This window comes from Homo sapiens, chromosome 7 (assembly GCF_000001405.40).
Source record: "Homo sapiens chromosome 7, GRCh38.p14 Primary Assembly".
Taxonomy (NCBI): domain Eukaryota; kingdom Metazoa; phylum Chordata; class Mammalia; order Primates; family Hominidae; genus Homo; species Homo sapiens.
The window spans coordinates 64,611,608-64,630,973 of record NC_000007.14 but is presented as its reverse complement, the minus strand read 5'-3'; the positions used below and the strand labels follow the sequence as shown (position 1 = coordinate 64,630,973).

General features: G+C 42.9%; 1 long non-coding RNA gene across 1 annotated transcript in view; it reads right to left on the bottom strand.

Annotated features, from left to right (window-relative positions):
* Positions 1–12,384: 12,384 nt before the first annotated feature.
* LOC100128885 (uncharacterized) overlaps positions 12,385–19,366 on the bottom strand; it is a 43,895-nt gene continuing 36,913 nt past the window's right edge. Inside the window, exon 3 of the long non-coding RNA NR_077227.1 lies at positions 12,385–16,475. This is a non-coding gene — a long non-coding RNA (uncharacterized LOC100128885). The remainder of the gene's footprint in view (positions 16,476–19,366) is intronic.

Below are 19,366 nucleotides of genomic sequence, written 5' to 3'. Positions count from 1 at the left end.
CAACAGCTTTATACAGTATGCATGAGAGTCACAATTTACTCTAGAATCTTCGTGCTGGTATGGAAACATTATTCTACCTGTGGCCCTAAGCCCAGGTATTACAGTCAACATCTCCTTAATTGGCTGGGTCCAGATAGGAGAGTTTTTACCTGCCTATAAGCTGGGTTGATAAATGAGTCACCATCCAAACTGGGCCAGATGTTTACATATGGCTGTCAGAATTCCAACTTTGAACTGCGTTCACGTGTGAGATTTAGGAACTCAACAGGAGGCTCTGTGAGAGTGACATTCCTAACAGTTGGAAGGGTGTCCATATGAGAAACAATATCTCACTTGTGTCCTGGGCCCTGTAATGACACTCCCTGTACCACCAGAGGGCTTTACACCATATGTGAGAAAGTGATGATTTTCTATGAGCTCTGTACAAAGAGGAGACCCAGAATCTTACACATATTTCTAAGCCTAGCTATAAAATACAGTGTCTCTCTCTCTCTTTTTTTAAAAAAAAATTAATAATTTTCTAAGTTCTTGGGTACACGTGCAGAGTGTGCAGGTTTGTTACATAGGTAAATGTTGCCATGGTGATTTGCTGTACTTATCAACCCATAACCTGGATATTAAGCCCAGCATCCATTAGCCATTTTTCCTGATTTTCTCCCTCTACCCACTTTGCCAGACGGGTTCTAGTGTGTGTTGTTTCCCAACTTGTGTCTATGTGTTCACATTGCTCATATCCACTTATAAATGAGAACATGTGGTGTTTAGTTTACTGTGCCTGTATTAGTTTGCTGGGGATAACAGCTTCCAGCTCCATTTATGTCTTTGCAAAGAAAATGACCCTGTTCCTTTTTATGGCTGCATAGCATTCCATGGTGTATATGTACATTTTCTTTATCCAGTCTAACATTGATAGGCATTTGGATTGATTCCATGTCTTTGCTATTGTGAATAGTGCTGCAGTGAACATACACATGCATGTATCTTTGTAATAAAATAATTTATATTCCTTTGGGTATATACCCAGTAATGGGATTGCGGGGTCAAATGGTATTTCTGGTTCTAGGTCTTTAAGAAATTGCCAAAGTGTCTTCCACAATGATTGAACTAATCTATATTCCCACTGTGTAAAAACATTCCCATTTATCCACAGCCTTGCTAGCATCTGTTGTTTCTTGACTTTTTAATAACTGCCATTCTGACTGGTATGAGATGGTATCTCATTGTGGTTTGATTTGCAATTCTCTAATGATCAGTGGTGTTAAGCTTTTTAAAAATGTTTGTTGGCCACATAAATGTCTTCGTTTGAGAAGTGTCTGTTCATGTCCTTTGCCTAATTATTGATGGAGTTTCTTTTTAAAAATTTTTGTTTAAGTTTCTTCTAGATTCTGGATATTAGATCTTTGTCACATGGATAGATTACAAAAGGCTTCTGCCATTCTGTAGGTTGTCTGTTCACCCTGACAATAGTTCCTTTTTCTGTGCAGAAGCTCTTTAGTTTAATTAGATCCCATTTGTCAATGTTTGCTTTTGTTGAAGTTGCTTTTGATGTTTTTTTCATAAAATCTTTGCCCATGCCCATGTCTATGTCCTGAATGGTATTGCCTGGATTTTCTCCTAGGATTTTTATAGTTTTGGGTTTTACATTTAAGTCTTTAATGTATCTTGAGTTAATTTCTGTATAAGGTGTAAAGAAGGGGTCCAGTTTCAATTATATGCTTATGGCTAGCCAGTTCTCCCAGAACCATTTATTAAATAAGTAATCCTTTCCCCATTGCTTGTTTTTTTAGGTTTGTCAAAGATCAGATGATTGTAATGTGCAGTCTTATTTCTGAGTTTTCTCTTCTGGTTTCATTGGCCTATGTGTCTGTTTTTCTACCAGTACCATGCTGTTTTGGTTACAAGACACAGTGTCTCTTTAACTGGCTGGTTCAAGGTAACAGAGTCATCATCGCAGCTGTGAACTGGGCCAAGGTGTATTTCACAATCTTACCTGTGAATCGGGAGCATGCAGAAGGGTCACATCAGCTGGGTGTTAGGCCAGGAATATTTCACAATGCTCCCTTTGGGCAAGAACCAAGCAAGAGAGTAACATCGCTCAGTTGCTGGGCCCAGCAATATGTCACAATTTTCTCTGTGGGCAGGGTGCAGGCTAAAGAGCAGAGCCATATCTCCTAGGTAATAGATGGAGAGATATGTCACAAGGTCCCCTGTGGTAAGGGCACAGGCAATATCTTTCTATCTCCTCAGTGTTGGGCCCAATGATATGTCACAAATACTCAAAATATGCAAGGCCAAGGCTAAAGAGGAATGTCACATCACTTAAGTGCTGGGCCCAGCCATATATCACAACACATAATGTATTCAGGGCACAGGCAGGAGGCGAGAATCACATCACCTAGGTGCTGGGCCCAGAAATACATCACAATTCTTTCTTAGGCAGACCCAAGTAGATGAGTAGGTTTATATCACCTATTGCTGGATCCAGCAATATGTCACAATACCTTATGAGGAAGCAGCTTGGGCAGGAGAGTCACATTACCTTGGTGAAGAGCTCAGAGATATGTCACAATACTCCTTTTGGATAGGGCTGAGAAAGAACAGTTACATAACCTAAAGATTATGCCCAGCTCTATGTCATCACTGGCCCAGAGGGCAGGGCTCATGCATAAGAGAAGAGTCACATCACATAGCTGCTGGGCAAAGCAATGTGTGATAATCCCCACTGTGGACAGATTTAAGAAAAAAGAGGAGAGTCATATTATTTAGGTGATGAGCCTAGAGGTATGTCACAATAATTCCTGTGGGCATAGGCCAGGCAGAAGAGTCACATCATGTGTTCGCTGGACACAGTGATAAGTCACTTTCATTTCTGTAGGCATGGCACAGGCAAGGAGAAGAGTGCCAACATCTCAGTGCTGGACCCAGAGGTATATCACAATCTTTCTTATGGGCAGAGTTCAGGTAATAGAGGAAAGCCACATCAAATAGACAATGGGTCCTTAGGTATGTGTCACAATAACTCCTGTGAACAGCATCCAGGGAGAAGGCTCACATCACCTTGGTACTGGGTCCAGCAATATGTCACAGTGCTTTCTGAGGTCAAGGCCGAGACAAATGAGTAATGTCACTTTGGTGTTGGGCCCAATGATATGTCACAATGTCCTCTGTAGGCAGAACGTAGGAAGAAGAGGAGTCACATCAGTGAAGCGCTATGTTCAGTGATATGTTACAATTCCACTTGTAAACAGAAAAACCAGGCAAATAAAGAGAGTCTCATCACCTGGGCCACGGGTGGAAGATATGTCACAATGCCTTCTATAGGCAGAGCACAGGCTGGGGGATTAAATCCCCCACAGGGGCCCACAGTGGCCCCCATGGGCAAGGCATAGGGAGGAGAGTCATATAACCTAAGTGTGAAGAACAGTCATATGTCAAAATTCTCCCTGTAGGCAAACCTAAGGCAAAAGAATAAATTCACATCGACTAAGTGCTGGGTGCAGCAATATATAACCATTCAGTCTGTCAGCTGAGCCCAAGAAGGAAAGTAAAATTGCTCAAGTGCTAGGCGGAGGTGTATGTCACAATTGCAGCCGTAGGAAGGTCCAGGCATGAAATTAAGAATCCTGCACATGTCCCAGTTCCAGGTATGAGAGGCGCCACCTCCTGTATGTTGGGTCTAAGTGTGTGACCCAGTCTCAACACTTTACTGAATCCATCCACAAGAGCCTCAATCCCTCCTGCAGACTGTGTCCCTTTAATGGAGTCAAAGCCTCATAGATATGCTCGATCTTGGTCTGAAGGTCACCTACCCACCTATGAACCAAAGCAATGTATGAGTTAATTTTTCAACTTCTACTTTTTTTGGATGTGAGATTCAGAACCTCAACAGTGGCCTGTGTTCATGTAGAAGAATGACAATTTTATTGTTGGCTGGGTGTGTATATGAGTGTCATAATCTCACCTGTGTGCCATGCTTTGTTAGGACACCCTCTGTAACACCTGAGGGCTTTATACAATATACATTAAAGTCACAATCTGCTCTAAGATTTTTGTGTTTGTATGAACCCATGATTCTACCTGTGGCCCAAAGCTCAAATATGATAGTCAACATCTCTCCAATTTGATATGTCTACATAGAACAGCTCAAACCTGCCAGAATTAGAAACGAGTTGCCATTTCAACTGTAGCTGGATGTTTACATATGACAGTCACAGTCCGAACTGTGAGCTGTGTCAACATGTGAGACTAAGGACCTCCCCAGTTGGCACTGTCCATATGTGTGAGGTGACAATATTAACAGTTTGTGGGGTGCACATATGAGAAACACAATCTCACTTGTTTACTGTGACACTCTCTCTACCACTTGAGGGCTTTATATGATATGTAAAAGAATGGTAATTTTTTATGACCTTCATTCAAAGAGGAGACTCATCATCTTACTTTTTTTTCTAAGACTAGCTATGGAAGACAGTATCTCTTCTATTGGCTGATTTGAAGTATGAGAGTAATCAATACACCTGTGAGCTGGATAAAATATATGTCACAAACCCACCTGTGGGTTGTGAGTGAGAAGTCATACCATGTAGGTTTTTGGCCAAGGATATGTCACAGTCTTCCCTTAGGGCAGAAATCAAGCAGGAGAGTCATATCACCTAGGAGCTCAGCCACAGATATGTTACAATCCTCTCCTGAAAACAGACCACACGCAGCAGAGTCATAGTGAAGTGGCTTCATTGTCTGGGGAAATACCCGAAGTTTGTTGTCCTGCACTGAGAAGAGTAATGACTCGAACACACACACGGAATGAGTTTCAGGAGCAGAAAGTTTAATAGACAAAAGACAGAAGAGAGAGAGGGAGAGAGAGAGCTTCCTCCTGCGGAGAAAGTGGGTCACCATAGCAGGTTTCCAGGTTTGGGGCAGAATGTGATCAATTTTATAGAGAGGCTTGAGGAGGCAGTGATTGATTTATATATGTCCCAGGAAATTGGTTTGACCAGGTGTGGCATTTACATAGCACACGAGGAAACTGGCCCTCCCACACTAATCTTATTATGCAAATGTGGACACCCACATGCATGGTGACAAAGTAAAGGGAGAGGGAATCGCCACTTTGAGTGTACTTGGCTTTTAGTATAGCTGCTGGCATTTACATATGCAAACTTCCAGCTTGCTTATCTATGCTTGCAGTTTGACTTTTCAGGCTGCTTTCTTTTAGAAAAGAGATGGTTTTTTGGCTGCTTTTCATTGAAGGAAAATTCCACCGAGAACTCTTTTACCCTTGCTAACTGCCTAAAATATATTTTTTTAAACTCCTATGTTATTCACCCCTCAGAAGATAGTATTCTAACTGCTGTTGGGGGTGTTGGACGACGAATATTTCTGGCTACTTCCTGCTGAAAAGGGGTGTCGTGTGGGGGATCAACAGCTGGGGCTCCTCCTGAGGTTTATTTAAGTGTTCTCGGAAGAATGGCATGTCTATGGGTGGTTCTGTTTGCAGCGCCATTTGGAGTTTTTTTCTAGGTAAAAAGATAAATTTTACAAGAAGTTTTAGAATATAGGGTTTTAACATGAGTATTAAGATTATTATTATTAGTGAGAGTACTATAGGCCATAACTATGACAGCAGAGTTTGATACCTGTTACTATTTCAATTAGTTGTAATACAGGTAGATGTCCACTAGATGTCGCTGTAGACTACCAGAAACGTTACTGTAAAAGTAACATTTTTCTTTGAGAAACACATACATTTATCCCCTTGGCTTGCCGTCAGGAGATAATTTTAGGTTCGGGCAATTTTTTATAACTTGTGATATGATTAAGAGAAATACATTATTCAGTGGCTAAAGTAACTTAAGTGTTAATCTTGGCCATTTCTTTCCTTTATTAAGTTCTTTCATGACTTCCACAGATTATCTTACAACATTCTTAAACTTTCTGACTTGTCCTAAATATCCTTCCTTTAAACAACCAGTCTTTTTAGGACAAGAATTTACCATAAAAGCCTTGCTTATAAAATCTCTTTTATAACCTTCTTTCCATAGCTTGGAGTGCACCATATTGCCAATCTTTAATAAAAAGTCCTGTCAAGCTCAGTGATAGTATAACTTTCATGCTTACTTCTTGTCTGTAACTATTACCCCTGCTATAGGGATAATAATTAAGCAAAGCAACCTTGACTAAATTTTTTCTACAATTATTCAATTATTATTCCTCTTATAAAGATGATAATTAGGCAAAGTATTATGGCAATTAGAATTTTACAACTAGAATTCCACACTGTGAGTTCCATAGTGTATAGTTCTACTACAAATAGTAGAGTGAATTTAGCAACTCCCACAAGAGTGATGTAGTAATTTTTATTTATAAATTTTATTTGCCAAGGTATAGAATTTCCCTTTGGGGTTCTATGAAGTTACAAATGCAATCCTATGAATAATTAAAATTTTCTTGTAAATATGTGTTAAAAGAGAAGTTTTAATAGTTGGCGGCAAACTTGGAGAGGAAAAATAGAAATGACAAAAAGTGTCCAATGACGTAGTAGTGAGCAAGATGAGTAGCCCTAAGTTACTTATCTTTTATGATTTTCAGCTTAAGATTTTCTATTTCTTCACACTGATATTCAGGACATTCCTCTGGGCTTGTAAGGGGTTGCTCCCTCAGCTCTTCAGGACTTGACTTGAGTGTGGTGTATCCAAGAGTTGATATCTGTAATTTTTTTTTTTTTTTTTTTTTTTTTTTTTTTGAGATGGAGTCTTGCTCTGTCGCCCAGGCTGAAGTGCAGTGGTGCGATCTTGGCTCACTGCAACCTCAGCCTCCTGGGTTCAAACGATTCTCCTGCCTCAGCCTCCCGAGTAGCTGAAATCACAGCCCCATACCATGCAGCCCAGCTAATTTTTGTATTTTTAGTAGAGATGAGGTTTCACCATGTTGGCCAGGCTTGTCTCAAACTCCTGGCCTCAGGTGATCCGCCCACCTTGGCCTCCCAAAGTGCTGGGATTACAGTCATAAGCCACCACGCCCAGCAAATACCTGTAACTTTTATTGCCAAGGGAAGAGGGGGTTGAAAAAAAACAGTGTAGGGCCCTTCCCAGCTTGGGCTTAGGGAAAGAGAGAGAGAGGCATGAGATTTACTGATAGCAAATCTCCTGGGTTAAATGAAGGTGGTCTTATTTCTTAGGGTTGGGCTACTGCTAGTTGTGTTAATTTTTGTTGGAAGTGAGCTAGAGAGGTTACATACTTAACCAAATTAGGTTTTCTGCTTTAATAGAAAAATCGTTGGTAAGAAAAGGCCATTTATAGAGCTTAGACCTAACTTTGTTTTTGTTTGTTTGTTTGAGACAGAGTCCCACTCTGTCTCCCAGGCTGGAGTGCAGTGCCGCGATCTCGGTTCACTGTAAGTTCTGCCTCCTGGGTTCATGCCATTCTCCCACCTCAGCCTCCCTAGTAACTGGGACTACAGGCGCCCGCCACCACACCCAGCTTATTTTGTTTTTATATTTTTAGTAGAGATGGGGTTTCAACGTATTAGCCAGGATGGTCTTGATCTCCTGACCTTGTGATCCACCAGCCTCGGCCTCCCAAAGTGCTAGGATTACAGGCCTGAGCCACCGCACCCAGGTTACACCTAACTTGGAAGGCATATTTCTTACCCATAGTAAGGCCATGGGAAGAAGAGTGACAAGTTTTTTAAGGTGTCTCTTGATAATATCATTTGTTCTATACCTTTACTGAGAATTGGGATTTTTAAGCACAATGGAGACCATATTCTGTGCCTAGCACATTTGAGACTCCCATGTGACAGCTGCCTTAAATGAGGGGCCATTGTCACTTTGAAGGTATTTAGGTAGACCAAAGCAGGGGTTTTTTTTGTTTGTTTATCTTTTTCTGAAACAGAGTCTCGCTTTGTCACCCAGGCTGGAGTGCAGTGGCATGATCTCAGCTCACTGCAACCTCCGCCTCCCAGGTTCAAGCAATTCTCCTGCCTCAGCCTCCTGAATAGCTAGGATTACAGGTGTGCACCACCATGCCTAATTTTTTTGTATTTTTAGTAGTGACGAAGTTTCACCATGTTGGCCAGGCTGGTCTCGAACTCCTGAACTCGTGATCCGCTCGCCTCGGCCTCCCAAAGTGCTGGGACTACAGGCCTGAGCCACCGCGCCTGGCTGGAGTTATTTTATTAATTAACACTTTTATTACCTCAGAGGTCTTTTCTGTATGGCATGGAAATGCTTCCACCCAGTTAGTAAAAGTATATACCCAAAACAGAAGGTATTGGATACCCTTTGTCTTTGGCATGCGGGTGAAGTCTATCAGCCAGTCCTCCCCCTGGATAGCTTCTTATTTTTTGGGTTTTAGGAGGAAGGAGCCACCTGTTCAGTGGATTATTTTTAAGACAGACTTCACAGGAATTAACAACCTATTTGACTGTTTTTAGTAAGTTCTCTTCTGAAAACAATCTCTGGGCATAGTGATAAGTTTTATCCTTTCTTAAGTGAAAAACTTGGTGAAAGATTCTAAGGATTTTCCTTTGGCTGAAGGCTGGCGAATGGAGTTTGCCATCCTCTGATTGTAGCCATCCTGAGGTCTAAAAATATACCCTCGAAAAGTGGCCCATTCTATTTCTGCAGGGGAGTACTGAGGCTTAATTTCTCTTATGGAGCCTTCCCAGGTTAGAGGGGCTTGAAGTGTGTTGATGCCTCAAGGCTTCCTTGCTGCTGACTTAATTGCCTGATTAGCTAACGTATTTCCTTCGGCTACTTCATCTGTTCCCTTTTGATGTCCCTTACAATGCATCATTGCTATTTTTCATGGAAGAAAAACGGAGAATAATTTTCTGGTGATACTTTAAAAGAGATCCATTAGCGGTAAGAAAATGTATTTTCTTCCAAATGGCAGCATGAGCATGAAGAACCAAGAAAGCATACTTTTAGTCTGTGTAAATGTTAGCTACCTTTCCTTTGTTTAATTCAAGTCCTCTTGTAAGAGCTATCAGTTCAGCTAATTGAGCGTTTGTGCTGGGGAGAGAGACACACTTTTAATAACGTTGTTTAGAGTGACTACTGAGTATCTTGCCTTATGTATTTTTTGCTTTACTGGCTATTTGTTACCTAAGAGGTCCCCCTAGAGGACAGTAATTGTGTCATGTTGTGTGGGGTGTAAGTTAAATTCTCTAGTATAATTAAAGAGAATTATGATTATAATTTCCAGGGTTAATTTGGAGACTTTTCTAAGTAGTAGAGCCACCATGGCAGTGGCTACAGGAAGAGGGGAGACCTGAATTAGAGAACAGAAAAGAGGGAGACTGGCTCTATTGTTTAGAAGGATGATTATCTTCCTTCTTTTAATTTCCAGAATCACCTTGGGATCCTAGGCTATAATGGCAGTTTGAGCTGCTGGAGCTGGGGGTTGGGTCCCTAGGACCCATTATTCCTGCCAAACGATCTGTGAGACTGGTTCTGAATCTAGTGACCTCATCTCTGGGGGCAGTTTGCTCTCTAGTGTCTCTGCCACAGCCTGCAGAGGGTTGAGGTGGCTTCTTCTTGATGCTTGGGCACTGCTTCTTAAAGTACCCTGACTTGCCAGACTGATAGCAATGAGCAGATGAACCTTGGAAATCCTGGACATTGCAGGCTTGCAAAGCAACTACTAGAGCCTTTGTCCTTCTCCTGAGTTTCCTCGCTTTCTCTTGGGTTTTCTCCTGGTCCCTATTATAAAAGGCTGAAGTGGCTACCTTCAGGAGGTTCTCTAAGGTGCTATCTGATTCTATAGCCTGCTTTTGTAGTTTCTTTTTTAATATCAAGAGCTTGGCCTGGCGCGGTGGCTCACGCCTGTAATCCCAGCACTTTGGGAGGCCGAGGCGGGCGGATCACGAGGTCAGGAGATGGAGACCATGGTGAAACCCTGTCTCTACTAAAAATACAAAAAATTAGCTGGGTGCAGTGGCGGGCGCCTGTAGTCCCAGCTACTCGGGAGGCTGAGGCAGGAGAATGGCGTGAATCCCGAGGCAGAGCTTGCAGTGAGCTGAGATCGCACCACTGCACTCCAGCCTGAGCCACAGAGCGAGACTCCGTCTCAAAAAAAAAAAAAAAAAAAAAAATATCGAGAGCTTCGTGCGTAATAAACCTGTCCTTTAGAATGCACTATTTGTTGATTGGATCAGAAGAAAAGGAGATATGCTCTATTAGTGCCTCTCTCTGCCTTTTCATAAAGGCTGCAAGACTCTTTTCTGGCATTTGGTCTATCATGGACAGTTTAGAGTAAGAGATTTGTCCTCATGGACAGTTTAGAGTAAGAGATTTGTCCCTATTCATAAACCCTCTAATATGCATATTAAAGTGTTTTTTTTTTTTTCCATTTATCTGCAGAGCTATTGGAGTTCCAACCAGGGTTGTAAAGAGGAACTGCTTCCCTTCCTATTGGGAATGGTGTTTCTGTTATTTCTTCACTTTCTCCTTTTTAAATTTTGGTGCATTATAGGCGACATATTGTTCATTTCTGCAATTCTCTGCTGCCTGTAGAGCTGCCTGCTTTTCAGCTGCAGTTAGGGTTTGGTTTAGGAGCAGCACAACATCCTTCTATGTGAGGTGAAACACCTGAGTCAAATTTTGGAAAGCTTCTATATACCTATTGGGGGTTGTCAGAAAATCAGCCTAAGTCTTCCTTTATTTGGCTAAGGTCTTGTAATAAGAGAACTTGAGATGGCTCTAAATAAGGGGGATTCTCAAATGGCTTCCCTGGAACTTGCTTTTCTAATTCTGGTGAATCATTTTCTATAAGCCTGCCTGATATGACTTTTTAAAAAGCTGGGTTGATCTTACACTACCTGCAAAGGTGTAGTATAAATGTCATGCCCTTGTGCAAAAGAAAATGGTTGCTTTCTTCTTCAAAGTCCGGAGGTTAAAGAAGTTCCAGTGTTACAGAATGCACTCCAGAGGGTTGCAAGCTGAAGTTGGTCTGTTGCCCATCTAGAAAAAGTGAGAATAAAAGGGTCCTTTTAGTCTCCCTTTTTTTTGGTATGACCAAGGGTGAAGGGGAAAACAGTGGGAGTGTCACCTCTACTCTTTTCTCTCCTTGGTTCCTGGGTCCTGTCACCATGTTAAATGTGTCACTCATGGTTGTGGGTGTGACCTCTCCAAGCCATGAAACCAGATGAACTAGGTGATGGATTTTAGCCACAATTACCCATATAGCCTTATTTGTCCACTTGTGATTTCCCTTTGACTTTCTAGACTTGTGTGATCTGTGTGCCACCCCAAAAAATGGATTTTGGGAAAGAATATGTAATAGTTGCCTTTGGGCAAGGCTCATTTAATGGAGGGATTGTGCTAGATGGAACTCTGTATTCTACTCTTATGCCCCATGCTAAATCATTTACCCTTAGAAAATGATTCTGGTTAACTTTTGGATGTAAAGTTCCCTTACTAATTAAGTACTATTTTAATTAGAGACAGAATAGGTGCCTTAAAGAACACAAGGGACCTAATGGCATTTTTCCTGCTGATAGGACAGTATTCAAACTAAAATTTAGCTATGGAAGACATTTTACTCTTAATTGTTAAAGGCAGCATTTTCCCATTCACAGAAGGGCATAGAGCCTGATTTTTAGCGGTGCAAAAAGGGAGAATTGGGAAGCTACAGTGTATTGCAAAAGACTGACAATGTGCCTCATGGAGATAATTTCTATTTCCACTAGGTGGTGCTGTTGGCTTAGAAATACCATGTACTCACGGAGGACGTGTATTGGGTTAGTATGGCATTTGCCGATCTTTCCTAACAGAACTGTTCCCCCGAATTGTAAAAATTCCTGCACATTTCATACACAGAGAAAAGACATGGTGACTGCAGATAGAAAAGGAGAAATTTTGCAACAGGATAGATGGAGATTCTCTTTGCTAACACCTGGATGAGTGGTCAGAAGTTGGCTTTAGTCCAGAAGCCTTTGGATAACACCAGGGTATGCCCTGGCCCGAAATTTTCAGTTGCTCCAAAACCTCTCCCAGCCCCATGTAATGGCTAGGTCCTCCATGAAAGAAAACTGGTTTAAAGCATGGCCAATGTGTGTATTGCAGGGGATTCATCCTCTCCCCAGTAACCCTCACATTTGAGTCTTCAAGAACAGTAGCCATGCTAATCACATTTTTAAATGGCTGTTTGGATGCCCATTATTAATTTGATTTGATTTTATAATAAGGCCCATAGCCTCAAAATTAAAGGACAGATTCTGAGGTTCACTTCCATACTTATTGCTTTGATGTTTATACCTATCATTCCATTTCTGATTCTGAAGGAGCCCCCAAATGAAGTGGCTTTGTTCTGTGGGGACATACCTGAGGTTTCTTGTCTCATACAGAGAAGATTAATGACATGGACACGCACACACGGAGTGAGTTTAAGAAGCAGAAAGTTTAATAGAAGAAAGGGAGAGACAGAGCTTCCTCTTTCAGAAAAAGTGGGTCACCCAAGGGGGTTTCTGAGTTTGGGGCAGAATAGATTCAATTTTATAGAGGATTGGATTGAGGAGGCAGTGATTGATTTACACAGGGCCCAGGAGATTGGTTTGACCAGGTGTGCCATTTACATAGCCCACAAAGAAAATGTCCCTTCTACCCTAATCTTTTATTATGTAAATGTAATCTCTACCTGGCCGATGCCATGACACCTGCACACGTGATGACAGAAAAAGGAGGGAAAATTGTCATGTGTGGTGTACCTGGCTTTTAGTATAGCTCCTGGCATTTGCATATGCAAGCTTCCAGCTTGCTGATCTATGCTTACAGCTTCACGTTTTAGGCTGCTTTCTTTTAGGAAAACAAATAGCTCTGGGGCCCTGTTTTATTAAAGAAAAATTCCATTGAGAACCCTTACTCTTACTAACTCCCTAAAATAATTTTGATTTAACTCCTGTATTAATATTGCCTGTATGCTAAGTCCAGTGATGTCAAAATGCTCCTTCTGGGCATGGCCTTAGCAGGAAAGACAAATCACCTGGTGTCATGGCCCAGCAATATGTCACAACATTTTCTATGGGCAGAATACAGGTAAGAGAGAGTCACATTTCCTAGGTGATAAATAAAAAGATATTTTACAAGGTCCCTTGTGGGCAGGGCCCAGGCAGAAGCACCCCATCCCATAGGTATGGGTCCCAGATATGTGTAATAATCTCCAAAATATGTGGGGCCCAGGGAAAACAGAAGAGTTTCATCACCTAGATGCTAGGTCCACCTACATGCTAGATGCTACCAGGTTTCATCACCTAGATGCTAGATGCAAAATCAGAGATATGTCACAATCCCTGATTTTGGCAGGGCCCCGGCAGAAGAGGAGAGTGAAATCAATCACCACCTCTTCTCCGTCACCTGGGTGATGAATAAACAGATATGTTCTAATACCTCTGTAGGCCGGGCCCATGCAGATTTGCATCATGAAAGTGTTAGACCCAGCCATATGTCACAATACTCAATGTATGCAGGGCCCAGGCAGGAGAAGGAAGTCACATTACCTAGGTGCTGGGCCCAGTCATATATCACAATCTGTCCTTGGGCAGAGAGATCAAGCAATAGAGGAAAGTCACTTCACCTGGGTGTTAGGGCCAGCAATATTTCACAATTCTCTCTGTGAAAAGTGCTTAGACAAAATTATAGGCTCACATCATCCAGGTGCTAGGTTTAGTCATTTGCCACAATCCCATCTGTAGGGCCCAGGCAGAAGGGTCAAATCACTTAGGTGCTGGGAAAAGGTGTATGTCACAATCACACCTGCAAGGTCTAGGGATTATATTAAACATCCCACACACGTCCTGGTTCTAGGTATGAGAGTCAATACCTTCTCTATTTTGGGTCTAATTTCGTGAGTCATAGTCTTAAAGGTGGCTAGATCTGTGTCTGAAAGCCTCAATCCCTCCTGTGAACTATTTTCCCCTAGTGGAGTCAGAGGCTCACAAGAGTGCTGAATCTTTATCTGAGAGTCACCAACCCAGCTGTGGGCCAGATCCACATGATTCAATTTTCCAAATTTCAGCTGGCTTTGTGTGTGAGGTTCAGAACCTCAACAGCGGGTTGTTTATGTGGGTGCAGGACAATCTTTACTGTTGAAAGTGTGTGCATACAAGTGTCGTAATCTCACCTGTGTGCTTGGCCCTGTTAGGACACTCTCTGTACTATGCTAGGGCTTTATGTTTTGCATGAGAGTCACAATCTATTCTAAGACATTTGTGCTGGTATGAACCTATAATCATATCTGTGTTCTTAACCCCAGGTATAAGAGTCAACATCTCCCTAATTTTCTGTGTCTAGATAGGAGAGCCCTCACCTTTCTATGAGCTGCATTTAAAAATGTTTTACTATCCCATATCTGGCTGGATGTTCACATATGACAATTCCAAATGTGGACTGCATCCATATGTGAGATTACAAGTAGGGTCTGTCCGTCTGTGAGAATTACAATTTTAATGGATAGTAGGGTGTGCATACACACAAGTAAATCTCACCTGTGCACTGGGCTCTGCAATGACACACTGTGTACAACCTGAAGACTTTATACCATATGTGAGAGTGTGATACTCCTTTCTGACCTTTATAAAAACAGAAGACCCAGAATCTTATCCATTTTTCTAAGCCTAGCTATGAGAGACTGTATCAACTATTGGCTGGTTCAATATATGAGAGTCATCATCACACCTATGAGCTGGAACAACATTATGTGTAACAAATCCACGTGCAGGTAGGTAATAAGCAGGGGAGTCACATCACCCGGGTGCTGGGCCAAAGATTTGTACAATATTACTTGAGGGCAGGGACCGGGAAGGATAGTAACATCCCTTGGCTGCTGAGCCCAGAGATATGTTACAATGCTCCCTGTGGGCAGGGTTCAGGCAAGAGAGACACATCACCTGGTTGCTAGGTCCAGCAATATGTCACAATCTTCCCTGTAAGCAGGGTGCAAATGGAAGACAATAGTCACATTTCCTAGGTAATGAATGCTGAGATGTCACAAGGCCTTCTGTGAGCAAAGCCCACTCATGTGCCTCCCATCCATCCCCTATATCACAATACCCAAATATGTGAGCCCCAGGCAAAATAGGAGTCACCTCACCTAGGTTCTGGGTCCAGTGATACATTATAATCCTCTTTTTGGCAAGGCCCAGGCAAAAGAGGCACAAAAGAGAAATGGCAGGGGATGAATGAAAAAATATTTCATATCTCCATGGACAGAGCCCATGCAGAAGAGTCACATCAACTAGGTGATGGACCCAGACATATGTTTCATATACTATGTGAACAGGGCCCAAGCATAAGAGAGTTACATCATCTAAGTGCTGGGAATATTGATACATCATAGTCGCTTCTTGGGCAGAGTCTAAGTAGTGGAGGACAGTCATACCACCTATGGGCTGGGTCCAGAAATATGTCTTGATACTTCCTGAGGGGAGAGCCCAGGCAGTATTATCACATCACCTGGGTGCTGGAACAGAGATATGTCATGGTCTTCTCTGAAAGCAAGGACCAGGCAGGAGGCTCATGTCACATTTGGCCAGTGATAAGTCACAATTCCTTTCTAAAAGCAGGGCTTGGGCAGTAGTCACATCACCTAGTTTCTGAGACCAGGTGTCACAGGGGGCTCCACAGGGAGCATTGTAACATATCACTGGGCTCAGAAACCAGCTGTCACAATACTTCTGGTGGGCTAGGCCCAGGCTGGAGACACATCACCTAGTTGTTGTGTTATGTCACCATCTTCCCTGTGGGCAGGTGCAGGCAGAAGAGATGAGAGACGTATGCCCTATGTGATGGATACAGAGTAATGTCAGAAAGCTGCCTGTAGTCAGGGCTGAAGCAAAAATGTCTCATTTCCTAGGTGTTGGGCCCAGCAATATGTCACAATACCAAAAACATGCAAGGTCCAGGCAAAAGAGGAGAGTCACATCACTTAAGTGCTGGGTTCAGTGATAAGTCACTATCATTCTTTCTGGCAGGGCCCAGGCAGAAGTGAGTCACATCACCTAGATGACTAAAAAAATGTGTCATAATACCCCTGTGGGCAGGGTCCATGCAGGACAGTCACATGACCTAGACATTATTCCCAGCCGTATGTCACAAAAACAATGAATGTAGAGCCCCGGCAGGAGAGTCACATAGCCTTGGTGCTGGGTCCAGTGATACATCACAGTTTTTTATTGGGCAGAGTCCAAGCTGTAGAGAGAGTCATATCACCTAGTTGCTGTGTGTGACAATATATAATAATACTCCCTGAGAAGTGGGCTCAAGCAGGAGATTCACATCACTTAGGTGAGAGGTTCAGAGATATGTCACAATGCCCCCAGGTGAGTAGCAGTCAGGAAGAAAAGTTACATAAACTAGGGCCAGAGCCCAGCTATATGTCACAATTACCGCAGTGGGGAGCACTCAGGTATGACAGGAGAGTCACATCACATAGGAGCTGGGCCAAGCAATATGTAGCAATCTGCGCTGCAGACAAGTCTGAAAAAAGAAAGGTCACATCAACTAGGTGATGAATCAGAAATACAGCAAAATGATTCCTGTGGGCAAAGACCGAGCAGAAGAAATTACACCACGTATGTGATGAGCTTAGTAATACATCACTCTCTTTCCTTGGGCATGGTCCAAGCAAAAGAAAAGTCACATTACCTAGCTGTTAGGCCCAGAGTTATGTCACAATCTCTTTTACAACAGAAGCCCAGGTAAAAGGAGAGTCACATCAAATAGATGATGGTCCCAGAAGTATGTCACAATGCCTCTTGTTAGCAGGGTCCAGGCATACCAACTCACATCACCTTGGTGCTGGGTTCAGCAATATGTCACAATGCTTTCTGAGAGCAAGGCCAAAGCAAAAGGGCAACATCACCTTGCTGTTGGGCCCAGTGATATGTCACAATGTTCCTTGTGGGCAAAACCTAGAAAGAGTCACATCAGCTAGGTGCTGGGCCTAGCAATCTGTTTTGATACACCCTGTAAGGAGAAACCAGGCAGAAACTGTCTTATTAACTGTGTGATGAGCAGAAAGATATGTCACAATGCTCTCTGTAAGCAGGGCCTAGGCAAGAGAATTATATCACCTGGGTGTGGACCCAGCAATATGTCACAACAGCCCGTGTGGGCAAGGCACTGGCAGGAGAGCCACATAACCTGGGTGTTGGGTGCAGCAATATGTCACAGGGTTCCCAGTGGGCAGTGCCAAGGCAGGAGAATAGATTTACATTAGTTAGGTCCTGGGTTCAGCAATGTTTCACAATCCAATCTGTGGGCTGAGCCCAGGCAGAAGAATTCAATCACTCAGGTGCTGGGCAGAGGCATATGTCACAATCACAGCTGCAGGAATGTTCATAAATGAGATTAACAATCCTGCACATGTCCAGGTTCCAGGTATGAGAATCAACACCTCTTTTATGTTGGGCCTAAGTACATGATTCACAATCTCAACAGTGGACTAGATCCATGGACGAGAGCCTCAATTCCTCTCACAGACTGTTTTCTTAGTGGAGTCACAGTCTTTCAGGTGTACTGAATCTTGGTCTGAGTGTCAATAACCCACCTGTGGACTGAAATAAACGATGAGACAATTGTTCAACTTTTGGCACTTTTTTTTTATTGTGGGGTTCAGAATCTCAACAATGTGTTGTGTTCATGTGGGAGGGTGACAATCATTACTGTTGGCTGGGTGTGCTTATGAGTGTCACAATCTCACCTGTGTCCTGAGGTCTATTAGAACATTCTCTGTCCTACTTGAGGGCTTTGTACTGTATGCATGGGAGTGCAATCTTGTCTGAGACCTTCATGCTGGTATGGACCCATGATTGTACTTGTGGCCCTAAGCCCAGGTATGAGAGTCAACATGTCTCCAATTGGCTGAGTCCAGAAAGAAGATGCCTTACCTGCCTAGGAGCTGGGTTTAGAAATGTTTCACCATTTCAACTCTGGCTGAATGTTCACATATGACAGTCACAATTTCAACTATGGACTGTGTTTGTGAGATTAAGAACCTCATTAGTGAGTTCCATCCATGTGGGAGGTTGACAATACTAAGGGTTTTTAGGGTGAGCATATGAGAAACACAACCTTACCTGTGTGCTAGGCTCTGTAATGACACTTTCTGTACCATTCAAGACCTTTACACAATATGCAAGAGAATGGCATTTACAATCTTTATAAAGCGGAGGCCCATGAACTCACCTATTTGCCTAAGCCTTGCTAAGAGACACAGGATCTCTGCTATTGGCTGGTTCAAGGTATGAGACTTATGCCATCTGTGAGCTAGGCCAAGATAAATGTGACAATTACACCCGTGGATAGGGAATGATAAGTAGAGTCACGTCACCTGTTTTTTGGAGCCAGGAATATGTCAAAATCTTCCTGGAGGCCAGGGACTAGGCAGGAGAGTCACATTACCTGTTTGCTGGGCCCGGGAATATATCACACTGCTTTCTGTCAGCCAGGCCCAGGCAGGAGAGACACATCACCTGGTTGCTAGGCTCAGTAATATGTCACAATTTTCTCTGTTGGCAAGGTGCAGGCAGAAGAGGAGAGACACATTTCCTAGGTGATGGATAAAGAGATATGTCACAAGGCCCCATGTGAGCAGGGCCCAGGTGGTACTCCCATTCCCTACATGTTGGGCCCAGCGATATGTCAGAATACCCAGAATACACAGGGCCCAGGCAATAGAAAAATGTCACATTACCTAGGTACTGGCCCAGCAATACACCACAATTTTTTTTTTTTTTTTTTTTGCCAGAGCCTAAGCAGTAGAGGAGAGTCACATCACCTAGTTTCTAGGTCCAGCAATATGTTACCGGACATGGCCCAGGCAAAAAAGTAAAATTATTTATGTGAAAGACCCAGAGATATGCTACATTGTCATCTGTGTGTAGGGCTAAGAGAGAAGAAAAGTGTTACATAACCTAGGTCCTGCTCATGCCACCTGTTTCACAATCACCCCAAATGACAGGGCCCAGTCATGACAGTCACATCACATAGGTTCTGGACCAAGTGATATGTCACAATATTCTCTCTGTACAGTTTACAGGAAGAAGACAGTCACGTAATCTAGCTGATGGGCTTAGAGATATGTCAAAATAACCCCTGTGGGCAGGGACCAGACAGGATTACCTCACCTGTGTGCTGGGTTTGGCAATAAGCCATCTTTCTTCTGTGGGCATGACCCTGTCAGAAGAGAGTCACATCACCTAGGTTTTGGTCCCAGAGATATGTCACATTTTTTCTTATGGGCAAAGCCCAGGTAAGATAGGAGAGTCACATCAAATAGTTGATGAAGTCAGAAGTATGTCACAATGCCCTCTGTGAGCAGGGCTCAGGCAGGAGACTCACATCACCTGGGTGCTGGGCCCAGCAAT